Source organism: Homo sapiens, chromosome 1, assembly GCF_000001405.40.
Source record: "Homo sapiens chromosome 1, GRCh38.p14 Primary Assembly".
In the NCBI taxonomy this organism is placed as follows: domain Eukaryota; kingdom Metazoa; phylum Chordata; class Mammalia; order Primates; family Hominidae; genus Homo; species Homo sapiens.
The window spans coordinates 89,501,473-89,515,133 of NC_000001.11; positions in this window are offsets into that span (position 1 = coordinate 89,501,473).

Here is a 13,661-nt window from a genome sequence, read left to right on the forward strand (position 1 = left end):
ATTCTTACTAGCTGTATAGCTATGGTTACCTGTAAGCCTCTGTTTCTGATCTGCAAAATAAGGATAGGAACATCCATCTCAAAAAATTGTTCCGAGGCTAAATGGGTTGCTGAGAGAGCACTTAGGAAAGAGTCTTTAAAAACTAAGCATTAAGTAAATATTAGTGATACTTGTGTTTCTTTCTTCTACCCTCCATGTTCCAAGAGAAGAAAATATATTTTTGAAATTTAAAAAGTAATCTCACCTAAATTTAGCACCACATCCGAATGGATATATTTTTTAGGAAGCGGCTCAGATAAATACATCTGATGTATTTATCTGATGTGTAATGGTAGCAGGCACATCCCTAAAGCCAGTACACAAGTTAAGTTTTTAAAATCTAATTATTAATTATGTTTAAATCACAGTTCACAATTTAAACGAACCCTGTGAACTATCCTTGCATAGAATAAATAACCACTCCTAATTAGCCATTTTTATAATTCTGTTTGTGATCTCTATATGAATAGTTTGCTTAAAATGAGATATATCTCCACTTAGTTCTTTGTAAGCCAATAATTTTATATTCATCCATCAATGGCAGTAGACTTTGCAAAAGAGTATTCTATAATGCTTATTGGAATTCATATCTAAAAACAAACTATTATCAGGAAGAAAATAAGATTTGATTTATTCAAAATCATGAGACCATTGCTACATTTCAGTATTCCACGGACATGCCTCTCCAGGGTATGTGTGTGTTATAACATGTGCTACATATGTCACAACTATGGCAGAGCACCAAAAATTAACAAGAGGAAAAATAACATTGAATGCATCAAAAGGGCCTGGTCCCCTTTATTGAGAGGTAACTTTATCTTGACTTGTGTGGGCATTGAAGGAAAAAAAAAGGTCATTAAAGTCAAATTCACTACAAAACGAATACATCTGAAAAAGAAGCATAGAAACATTAGACATTGGTATATGCAAAGTATAGGCTAGATTGTTCTAGTTGCAATAAAAATTCAAAATAGCTGGGCACAGTCACTCATGCCTGTTATCCCAGCACTTTGGGAGGCTGAGGCAGGAAGATTGCTTTAGCCCTGTGCTCCAGACCAGCCTGGGAAACATAGTAAGACCTTGTTTCTACTAAAAATGTTTAAAACTTAGCTGAGCGTGGTGGGTGTACACCTGTAGTCCCAGCTACTTGGGAGGCTGAGGCAGGAGAATTGCTTGAGCCTGGGAAGTCAAGGCTGCAGTGAGCCGTGATCACACCACTGCACTCCAGTCTGGGAAACAGAGAGAGACCCTATCCCACACACACACACACACACACACACACACACACACACACACACAAAATCAAAATAATGATAACAGTAAACTGCAGGCTAGTATGATTTTGTAGGGAATTAAGTATCACAATTGGTCATCTAGCAGCAGATACCAATCATTAATACCACTGCTTCTCACGTCAGCTTAAGCCAGTTGTGATCTGAATCTATTTCCACTGGTACAGATAAAGAATCACTTCCTAAGGAGAATTTAGTTGTCAGCTCTTCTAGAATCTGTTCTAAAAAAAATCTTAAACAAAGATTGAAATGCCATCTGCTAAAAAATATTCTGGCATAACAAATTTAAACAATGTGAAAGCCAGAGATTAAAAATGTAGCTCAATCACATTACCATTCTTTGGCTGGCAATGAGAAAGCAGATGTTATAGGAAACTGAAAAGTATTCCATTTGAGCATAATAGGTCTCAAATGTCCTTGTTATAACTCCCAAAATATTCATATTCCAATGGGGTCTTTGTGATTTTGTTGTTGGAGTTATTAACTTGTCAGATTGCTCTGGTTTTTCTGGGTCTAAAATCATACATTCTGTTTTAGGAGAATAGACGATTATCGTTTTATGATTAAAATCACCACTTTCAAATATTTCTATGATGTTCAAATGGCACATTATTTGGAGTAGTGGCTACTCTACTTGAAAACTGTTTGAGAGTTACTTATTTGATAATATATTTTGAACGAGCAGAAAAAAAAGTGAGAAAGAGATTTCTCACTTGAATTACATGTTCACCAAGGTATATGAATTTAGTTAGGTACCTAAGTTCTTATTTCAGTGAAGTCTTATTCTTACTGAATGGATATTTCTCTTAAATTTAATCTTAAAAAGCAAAGGTTTTGAAATGGTCTCTAGGATCTACTTCACGAAACCTCTTCAGTGAAAGAAGAAAGCAAATGCTTATCCCACACAACACCCAGTATACCTCAGTCTGTAGTCGCCCTTCATTTTCTTCATATTAACTACATCATATTGTCACTTATTAAAGAGAGAGTAGGCGCATGCTCTATTCACAAAATATAGCTCCTCTTCAAGAAATCCCTGCAGGGTGCTGTTGAAATTGCTGTTCATGTAGCACCTAAATATCTAGCACTTGACTTAGAGGCATGTAGCACCACTTGAAATCTCTCCACTGTCATTTAGTTTGAAGAATATTTGCCATGCAAGGGTTCTTGCTTTGAGGAGACAGCCCCTACTCATTTCTAAATGAAATAATTTAAGGATCTTGAATGGAAAATGGACCTATATGCAATGCTGCCAAAATTCTCATTTCTTGGATGATAATGACCAAGAGATCTCAAATTGTTGAGCTGTGACAAGGCTAACCTCAGAATGCTTAGGACAAAACCAAGGGCATTTGTGCTACTGAAGGGCCACTGGGACAATCATCGGTCCTGCCCCAGAGCTCCCATGCATGCCCTTGCTTTTTGCTCACTATTTTATTCTCTTGTCTATTTCCTTTTCTTCACTCTCCTTTCATTTCTCTCTTTCACCTCTTCCTGGAAGACTGTGCGGGTAATGGACAGAGGCAGACCTTAGAGTCAGAGAGGTTGCATCTGAGACCAACTCTAGCACCAACCTCAGTGACCTGAAATAAGTAAGTTAACATTTCATTCTCTTCACCTAAATAAAGGGGTGACATCTAGCTTACGATGTTGTCACAATAATATGAATTAATAAGTATAAAGCTCCTAAACAGATAGAAAGTGGCAAACAAAAGTAGCCATTATATTATTTTGATTGCTATTATGCAATCAAAAATGATGCTATTATGACAATTATTATTATGAGGTAGGATTAGATTCTTGCAACAGCTGTTTTTGACCTCCATTCTGAGAGTCTTTACCAGGCTACAGTATCCATCTCTAGCCACTGTGGGTGCTGGCTGCTCTAGACTCACACCACCTTCCTCAAGAGATGCTTGGCAACTTATGTCCCCAACTGGCAACTTATGTCCCCAATGTCACTATTCCTTTAAAGCTTTCTTCTGAGAAGACTCCCTCAATAGATGACGTACAGAAGAATTCCCCTGTTGGGATTTGCTTCTGAGACACTAACCTAAGAAAGTTATTATTATTACAAATACATCTTAGGCCTTTCTAATAACCAAAGATACTTCAAGCACTCAGCTGAAGACAATGCTAATCTCTTCTGGATCAAAATTGCCCCCTTTCCAATTCTACTTCTGGCATGACAGTGTGAGAATCTCAGTGGTATCACTCTTCAGCAAAACTGGTGAAAATTAATTTTAAAACAGTCACTTAAAGTCTCTGAAAAATAGCCTATGTGCATACAGCAAATGAGGAAACATTTATTCGAGAAAGTGTACTAAAACTCCATAAATCTGCGAGAGTCTGTGGTATTTTAACCAAAACCCACAACCTCCCTCCTAATTCCCAGTTCAGTATGATGGCAACTTCACTCTACACTAGTGTCCAAGGCATTCGAACCAGAGCGACTCCATCTTGAGTAAGGGCTAGGAAAAATGAGGCTGGAACTTGCTGGGCTACATTCCCAGAAAGGTATTCCTACCCTCTAGATGTTAATGGTTAAGGGAACAGATTGATAATGTTTGCTAAGCAGACCCAGACTTAGAAGTGTCCTGATATTCTGATATCAAGAACAGATGTATTCCTAATTTTACTTTAGAGATAATAATATTGATTCTTACAAAATATAGTAACTAAGAAAATTAATCGTTTATCAAAAACCTTTGTAGCAGAGCACATCTCCCCATATATAAACAAGTATTGTACCTAGGGTGGATGCATTCCTCCTCTCACTTTTGAGAACACCCTACTCTGTTTATGGAGTAGCTGTACTTTCACCACTTTACTTTCGTAGTACACTTGCTTTTGCTTTGTACTGTGGACTCACCCTAAATTCTTTCTTGTGCAAGATCCAAGAACCCTCTCTTGGGGTCTTGATTGAGACCCCTTTCCTGCAACACTGGTATAGCCAAGAACACAAGGTTCTGTCTCCCATCTAGAGAGTTACATTCCTGGGAGAAGTGGGACATCCACATTTTCCTGACTGCCCCCAGTTACTTGTTGCTGAGGCAAGGTTCCTGGCAAATGCAACCAAAAGAGGGGAGCTCCATTCTCCCACTTAGCTGCCACTCATGGAATCAAGGCTGCACATTGGGCACAGGGCCACTTAGAACACTAGGGTCCCCACTGTCCTTGCCATGATGCCTGGGGCAAAGGTTCTATGCCAAGAGAGACTAGCCAAGGACATCTGCATCCACTGAACACTTAGTTCTTTAAACTGAGTGTCACTCACAGAGAGATGCACAATTGTCCCTCCCTCAGCCCAAGGTGTAGGTCAGATATTTCACCTTGGGAGAAGCAGACCATAGAACAGAGAGCTTGAAATCTCTCCCCAAAGAAACTGACTTTGTGACAGAATGTAAAATTCAAGCCTAAGAGTGTTCTCAGAAACAGTGTAAGTTGGTGAAAGGCAATTGGGAAAAGAATGATGAATAAATGTATTGGAGGTATAGGCTAAACTGTAAGCCCACTAGTTGCTAGAGAAAAATGAGGAAAGTCTTGGAAGACCCCTTCTACAGTCTGAATAAACCTCAAACACTAAACAGAGGAACCATCCCTTCAAAGAAGATTAATTTGATTGGATTTGTGTGTGAAGCAACTTATGCCCCACAGCATTATTGCAAGCAATAGAGCAATCAAGCAGCAATTAGTGGAGTTTCACAAATGTATGTCCTCAGATAACCAGGTATGGTGCTTTGGCATACTGAGCACTTATGAATTAAAGGAAAACGGAAGACCTTAGAAGTTGCCTCAGAACCAAAGACTTCCTAACTTTCTCTTGTTATCCCCTCACTGCATCCTCCAGTGCAGGCATGGAGGGTCTCTCTGAAAGTTCCCTTATCTGAAAGAAAAATTTCTTTAAACACATATGCAATTGTCTTAAGACCCATTCCCTAGGAATCTCATCAAATAACCAGAAAAAATTAACCACTGAAGAGAAGAAAAAAGTCTTTGCCACAAGGCCCAGAAGACTTCTGGTTTCTTCTACTGAGGACAACTCCAAAAAATTACATGGGAGATATCTACATATTATATGGTAACTCTATGTTCAAAATTTTGAGAAATTGCTATTCTATTTTCCCAAGTGGATGCACCATTTTATAATCCCCTCTGCAATGAATAAGGGTTCTTTCTCCATATCTTCACTGAGACTTGTCATTGTCTTTTTATTTGAATCATCCTAATGAGTCTGAAGTAGTGTCTGGTTATGAGATTTTTTTTAAAACATTTATTTTTGGTTTGGGGGTACATGTGAAAGTTTGTTACATAGGTCAACTCATGTCACGGGGGTTTGTTGTACCAATTATTTCATCAACCAAGTATTAATCCCAGTATCCAATAGCTATCTTTTTTGTTCCTCTCCCTCCACTCTCCACTCTCCCTCCACTCTCAAGTAGACCCCACTGTCTGTAGTTTCCTTCTTTGTGTCCATAAGTTCCCATCACTTAGCTCCCACTTATAAGTGAAAACATGTGGTATTTGGTCTTCTGTTCCTGCATTGGTTTGCTAAGGATAATGGCCTCCAGCTCCATCCATGTTCCTGAAAAGGACATGATCTTGTTCTTTTTATGGCTACATAGTATTCCATGGTGTATATGTACCACATTTTCTTTATCCAATCTGTCATTCATTTGCATTTCCCTAATGATTAATGATGAGTGTCTTTCCATGTGCCTATTGCCATTTATATATCTGTTTTTGGAAAAATATCTATTCAAATCCTTTGCCCACTTCCCCCCAATATTTTAGTATGGTAATAAAATTTACCATCTTAACCATTTCAAAATGTACTTCAGTGATATAAAATGTACTCACAATGTTGAGTACATTTGACTCACAATGTTGTGCAACCATCTCCATAAATCTTTTTATTTTATAAAACTGAAACTCTATACTTATTAATTAATAAGTCCCTGTTCCCCTATCTCTGCAATCCCTGGCATCTACCATTCTATTTTGGGTCTCTATAATTTTGACTATGCTAAACACCTCACATAAGTGGAATCCTACATTATTTTTCTCTTTGTGACTAACTTCACTTAGCATAACATCCTCAAGATTCATCTGTAATATAGCATATTTCAGAATTTTCTTTTTAGGCTGAACAATATTCCATTATATGTATCCTATTTTGCTTTTCCATTTATTTATCAGTAGACATTTGGGTTGCTTCTATGTTTTAGCTGTTGTGAATAATGCTGTTATGAACATGGGTGTACAAATATCTCTTTGAGACCATACTTTCAATTCTTTCAGGGATATACCCAGTAGTGGAAGTGTTGGATCACACAGTAATTCTATTTGTAATTTGTTTAGGAACTGCCATACTGTTATCCACAGTGGCTCTACCACTTTACATTCCCACCAAGAATGCACAAGGGTTCCAATTTCTCCACATCCTTGTCAATGTAATTGCCTTACGGGTTCATCTTGCCCACTGCCTAGAAATGCCAATGCACTGAGAAGAGCAGGTTTCTGCCAGAAAGAAAGAGTTTAATAATCTCAGGACCAACCAAGCGGAAGAATGGGAGATAATTCTCAAATCCTTCTACCCAAAATCTCAGAGGTGAGGTTTTTGAGGATAATTTGGTGGACAGGGAGCTGGAGAATGGGTGTTGCTGATTGGTTGGGTATGAAATTATAGGAGTGTCCAAATTGGTCTTCATGTGTTGAGTCAGTTTCTGGGTGGGGGGTCACAGGATCAGTTGGGCCAGTTCTTTGGTATTAGTCATGGGTCTAGATGACATCTGCTGGTCTGCCCAAATGCAAAAGTCTAAAAATTACCTCAAAGCGGGTGGATCATGAGGTCAGGAGATCGAGACCATCCTGGCTAACAAGGTGAAACCCCGTCTCTACTAAAAATACAAAAAATTAGCCGGGCGCGGTGGCGGGCGCCTGTAGTCCCAGCTACTCGGGAGGCTGAAGCAGGAGAATGGCGTGAACCCAGGAAGCGGAGCTTGCAGTGAGCCGAGATTGCGCCACTGCAGTCCGCAGTCCGGCCTGGGCGACAGAGCGAGACTCCATCTCAAAAAAAAGAAAAAAAAAAAAAAATTACCTCAAAGACCAACAAGAAAAACAGAATTTTAGATCAATATCCCTGATGAACATGGATGCAAAAATCCTCAATAGAATATCGGCAAACTGAATCCAGCAGCACATCAAAAAGCTAATCTACCACGATCAAGTTGGCTTCATCCCCAGGATGCAAGGCTGGTTCAACATATGCAAATCAACAAACGTAATCCGTAATATAAACAGAACCAAGGTTTTAATAATAGTGATGTTATCTACAGGAGCAAGTGGGGAAGATACAAATCTGACCTCTGGAACCGTGGTTGGTTATTGTTTATGGCTACATCTTAGCAGAATTCAGGCCTCTCCCATAATTCTAATTTTGTTGCCTTTCATTAGTTTTACAAAGGCGGTGTCAGTCCTCAAACAATGAAGGGGTAGTTTTGGGAAGGGCTATTATCATCCCTACTTTAAGGTTAAACTACAAACTAATTCCTCCCATAGTTAGCTTGGCCTATGCTCCAGAATGGGCAAGGGTAGTTGTTAGCTTGTGAAGTTAGAAGCAAATTGGTGTCAGCTATGTCAGATTTTTCTCATTGTCATAATTTTTGCAAAGGTGGCTTCTCTACTACTTGTAATTTTTTGGTTTTTTCAATACTAATTGTCCCAATGGGTATGATGTGTTATCTCATTGCAGTTTTGATTTGCATTTCCCTAATGGTTGGGTGATGTTGAGCATCTTTTTATGTATTTGTTTACTAGTCATTTGTATAAATTATTTGGAGCAATGTCTATTTGAGTCCTTTCCCCTTTTTTAAAATCAGTTTGTTTTTCTGTTTTTAAGATACAGGAGTTCTCTACATACTGGGTATTAATCCCTTAACAGATATATGGTTTGCAAATAGTTTCTCTCATTCTGTGAGGTGCTTTTTAAACTCTATTGATAGTGTCTTTTTGGTGCACAAAACTATTTACTTTTCATACTGTTCCATTTGTCTACTTATTCTTTTGTTGCCTGTGCCATTGGTGTCATATCTAAGAAACCATTGCCAAATACACAGTCTTGAAGTTTTTACCCTATGTCTTCTTTTTTTAATTTTTTATTATTATACTTTAAGTTCTAGGGTACAAGTGCACAATGTGCAGGTTTGTTACATATGTATACTTGTGCCATGTTGGTGTGCTGCACCCATTACCTCAACATTTACATTAGGTATATCTCCTAATGCTATTCCGCCCCACTTCCCCTACCCCACGACAGGCCCCAGTGTGTGATGTTCCCCACCCTGTGTCCAAGTGTTCTCATTGTTCAATTCCCACCTATGAGTGAGAACATGCGGTGTTTGGTTTTCTGTCCTTGCGATAGTTTGCTGAGAATGATGGTTTCCAGCTTCATCCATGTCCCTACAAAGGACATGAACTCATGCTTTTTTATGGCTGCATAGTATTCCATGGTGTATATGTGCCACATTTTCTTAATCCAGTCTATCATTGATGGTACCCTATGTCTTCTTAATGGTGGCATTATTTTAGGTCTTACATTTACTTCTTTGATTCATTTTGAGTTAATTTTTGTATACGGTGCTAGGTAAGGGTCCAACTTCATTCTTTTGTATGTGGTTATCCCATTTTATCAGCACCATTTGTTGAAAAGACTGTCCATTCCACACTGAATGGTCTTAACATCCTTGTCGAAAATCCTTTGATTGTATGTGTGAGAGTTTATTTCTGAACCCTTTATTCTATTCCATTAGTCTGTCTGTCTGTCTTTATGCCAGTGCCACACTGTTTTGATTATTATAGATTTATAGTAAGGTACAAAATCAGAAAACATGAGTTCTTCAGCTTTGTTCTTCCTTTGCAAGATTATTTATGCTATTTGGGTTCCCTTGCTATTTCATATAAATTTGAGGATGATTTTTTCTATTACTGCAAAAAAAATCTTTGGGATTTAGATAGAGATTGAATTGAATCTGTTGATTTCTTTCGATAGTATTGACATGTTAACAATATTATGTCTTCCAATCCATGAACATCAGATATGTTTCCATTTATCTCTTCTTTAATTTCTTTTGGCAATGCTTTGTAGTTTTCATAAGCATTTTTTTCTTTCAATGCTATTTTCAATGGAAGCTTTTGTAATTTCCTTTGCAGATTGCTCATTGTTACGATATAGAAATGCACCTCCTCATTTTTGTGTAATTTTGTATTCTGCTACTTAACAATAGAAATTATTTATTAATGCTACCAGTTTTTTTGTGACATTGTTAGTTTTTTTCATATATAAGATCTTATAATTAAAGAGCAGAGAAATTTTTACCTTATTCTTTTCCAATTTGATTTTTAAAATTTCATTTTCTTGCCTAATTCCTCTGGCTAGAACTTCAAGTACAATGTAAAATACAACTGGTGAAAATGTGCATCCTTGTTTTGGCGCTGATCTTTGAGGAAAAGCTTTTATTCTTTCACTATTGAATATCATGTTCACTGTGGGTTTCTATTTATGGCTTTTATTATATGGGAATTTCCTTCTATTCCAAGTGTGTCAACAGTTCTTATCATAAAAGCATGTTAAACTTTGTCAAATGCTTTTTCTCCATTAATTGAGATGATCTTATGAATTTTTTCCTTTAGTTTGTTGATGTTGTATATTACATTGATCAGTGTTCTTATGTTGAAATATCCTTGCAGAAGAAATAAACTCTACTTGGTCATGATGTATAATCTTTGTAATATGCTGCAGAATTCAGTTTGCTACTATTTTGTTGAAGATATTTGCATCAATGTTAATAATTAATTAATATTGGTCTGTAGGGTTTTTTTTTTATTCTTGTAGCATCTTTGGCTTTGGTATCAAGGCAACTGAAACTCATAGAATGAGTTTCAAATTATTCATTTCTCCTATTCAATTTTGTGGAAAAGTTTCAGAAGATTGTTTTTTTGTGTTGTTCAAGTCCTCTATTTTCTTTGTCTAGTCGTTCTATCCATTTTTGAGAGTGGCATATTGGAGTATTCAATTATTATTGTAGAATTGTCTATTTTTCCCTTCAGTTCAATTAGCTTTTGCTTTGTAGCTTTTGATAGTCTGCCATTATGTGTGTAAATATTTATAATGGTTTTATCTTCCAGCTATATTGAATATTTTATTAATATATCTTTGTCTTTTGTCATCTTTTTTACTTATTTGTCTCATATTATAATAGCTACCCCTACTATCTTTTTGTTGTAGTTTGCATGGATCATCTTTTTCCATCTTTCACTTTCAATCTACTTTTGTCTTTAGATCTAAAGTGAGTCTCTTATAGACAGCATGTATTTGGATTCTGTTTGTTAATCCATTCTGCCAATCTCAGTATTTTGACTGGAAGTATATTCCACTTACCTTTAAAGTAATTACTAACTAGGAAGAACTTAATTCTGTCATTTTGCTGTTGGTTTTCTATATGGCTGATAGCTTGCTTTTACTTCATTTTCTGCATCATGGTGTTCTGTGTTTCATTGATTTTTTTTGTAGCAAAACATTAAATTCCCTTATAGTTTACTTTTGTATATATTTTATAGCTATATTTTTGTGATCACCATGGGAGTTATATTTAACTTCATCAAATTAGAACACTGTAATTTGAATTTAAGGTAGCATAATTCAATAATATACAAAAACTCTGTTCCTTTAACAGTTCCATCCTTGCCCATTTTTATTGTGATGTCACAAAATTACCACTTTATACGTTGCATAACCCAAACATAAACTAATGATTTTTTAAAAATGTATTAGTCTCTTGTATCACATAGACAACAGAATGTGGAGTTACAAACCAAAACTACAATTTGCTAGCTTTTAGTCTTTCAGGAAAAGTTTTTGTTGACTTTTTTTCCTTCAAATGGGCCATATTTTCCTGTTTCTTTGTATGCCTTGTAATTTTGTTGTTGTTGTTGTTGAAAACTGAACATTTGAATTTAATAATGTGGTCACTCGGGAAATAAAATTATTTTCCTTCCCTAAGATTTGTTGGGTTTTGATATTGACTTTGTTTTTGTGTTCTTGCAGGCTGTTTCTGTGCCAAGAATCAGCCTGAGGCATAAAATTAAGGTCCTTCAGGTTTTTAACTAAGCATGCCCCTTGCCCTGGGCATGTTTGGTACCTTTTTAATTTCTCATTTTCCCTGTATATACAGTTGCTTTTGAATCTTCCAGCCATTAATGTCTGGCTCTCAAAAGGGAAGAAAAAAATGAAAGAGGGGAAAAGGGCACTGGATCCTTAAAGCACCTGCAATTCACTTCTGTTGGAAGTAAAGGGGCTAGAAACAATGTGGGAGATGTAATACCAATGGCCACCTGAGTCTTTGTCTGCACCTCTGTCTTCAGAAGGACCAATCAGGGACCAGAGCACAGATGCCCAACATTTGGAGGGCAGGGTTCTTTTTGCCCACCTTGGCTCTCACCAGCTGTGTGTAAACTGCTCCTGGAACAAATTAACAGCTATCTGCCATGGAGGAAGAGGGGTAGGAATAGGGGTGGTGTAACTGCTACTGTGCTAAGAATTGAAATAACTAAAATTAACAGCAATTTGTTGTCCAAGCCTTCCCCTAAAAGCCACAAGCCTTCAATAGACTCCAGAGTTTCAAAATAGATTAGCACAATTGTTGCCTAGATGCTTCCTACTCTGCTTCCCCTCTCTGTGGTTGGGAACTTCCCAGAACCCTCTTCCTTTGTCCATTTGTCCATTTTTTTAGTTGAGTCATTTGACTTTTTATTTTTGATCTGTGCTTTTGTATTAGGCCATTCTTGTGTTCCTATAAAGATAATATTCGAGACTGGGTAATTTATAAAGAAAAGAGGTTTAACTGGCTCACAGTTCTGCAGATTATACAAGCATGGCACCAGCATCTGCTCAGCTTCTGGTGAGAGCCTCAGGGAACTTTTTCTCATGGTAGAAGGGAAAGTGGGAGCAAGCATGTCATGTGGCAAGAGCACGAGCAAGAAAGCAACAGGGGAGGTGCCATGTGTTTTTAAACAACCAGATCTCATGAGAACTCCCCCACTACCACGAGGACAACACCAAGCCATTCATGAGCGATCCACCCCATAACCCAAACACCTCCCACCAGGACCCACCTCCAACATTGGGAATCACATTTCAAAATGACATTTGGAGGGGACAAACATCCAAACTATATCAATTTTTATACATTCTGGATACAATTCCCTTATCTGATATGTGATTTGCAAATATTTTCTACCATTCTATGGCCTATCTTCTCCCTTAACATTAAACTTTTAACTAATGTTGTCCCTCTCTTTCTACTTACAAAGACCAAGAAAGAATACCACATTTGTACAAATGTATGGATGCAAGAACTCAGAAGGAATGGCAGAAATACAAAGCAAATAAATGAGACTTGGCATATGAGTGAAAATCATGTCATCCTCAATGCTAAAACAAATTTTAACTTGCAACACAGCAAAATATGTCTACTTGCCATATTCTATTCCTAAAGTCCACAATTTCTGAACACAAATCAGAATCTGCCTTCCAAAACCAATCAACTAAGAATTCCTACAGTGTGAACATCTCCAGCAGAGAGGACTAATGTTGTTTAAAATATTTGTGTTAGAGGCTTTAAATTTACAAAAGGCTTAGGAAGCAGTTATCACACTTTCCCATCCCCACACACCTAGGCATACAAAATAAAAAAGCATTTATTTCATGTTAATTAACAGTTTATTGACCGCCCACTATCCCAAGGTACCATGTTAGGCTTTGGAGTATCAAAGGGGGGAAAAGACATACTCAAGAAATTTAGAGTCTAGTTAAGAAGCTTGCCTCAATTTCCTAATCACCTTTCTTCCATCAATCAAGGAAAGCATCTAGTAACTAATCATTCACTTCTCTAACCATACACATATATGTAGAAAAATGTATGGATTAATTGTCCTTGTTTGAAAACAGTAGGTTCAGGAGGTTGCTATAGTTTGAATGTTTGTTCCCCCAAAACTCATATTAAAATTTGATCTCTAATGTTGCAGGTGGGGTCTATTGGGAGGTGTTTGGTACATGGAGATGATTCCCTCATAAAGAGATTAATGCCTTCCTTGCGGCTGGGGAGGTAAATGAGTTCTCACTCTTACTAGTTCCTGCAAGAGCCAATTGTTATAAACAACCTAGCACCTCCCTCCCCTCTCTCTTGCCTCCTCTCTCACCATCTAATTTCTATATTCTGACTCCCCTTCACCTCTGTCATGAATGAAAGTAGCCTGAAGCCCTTACCAGAA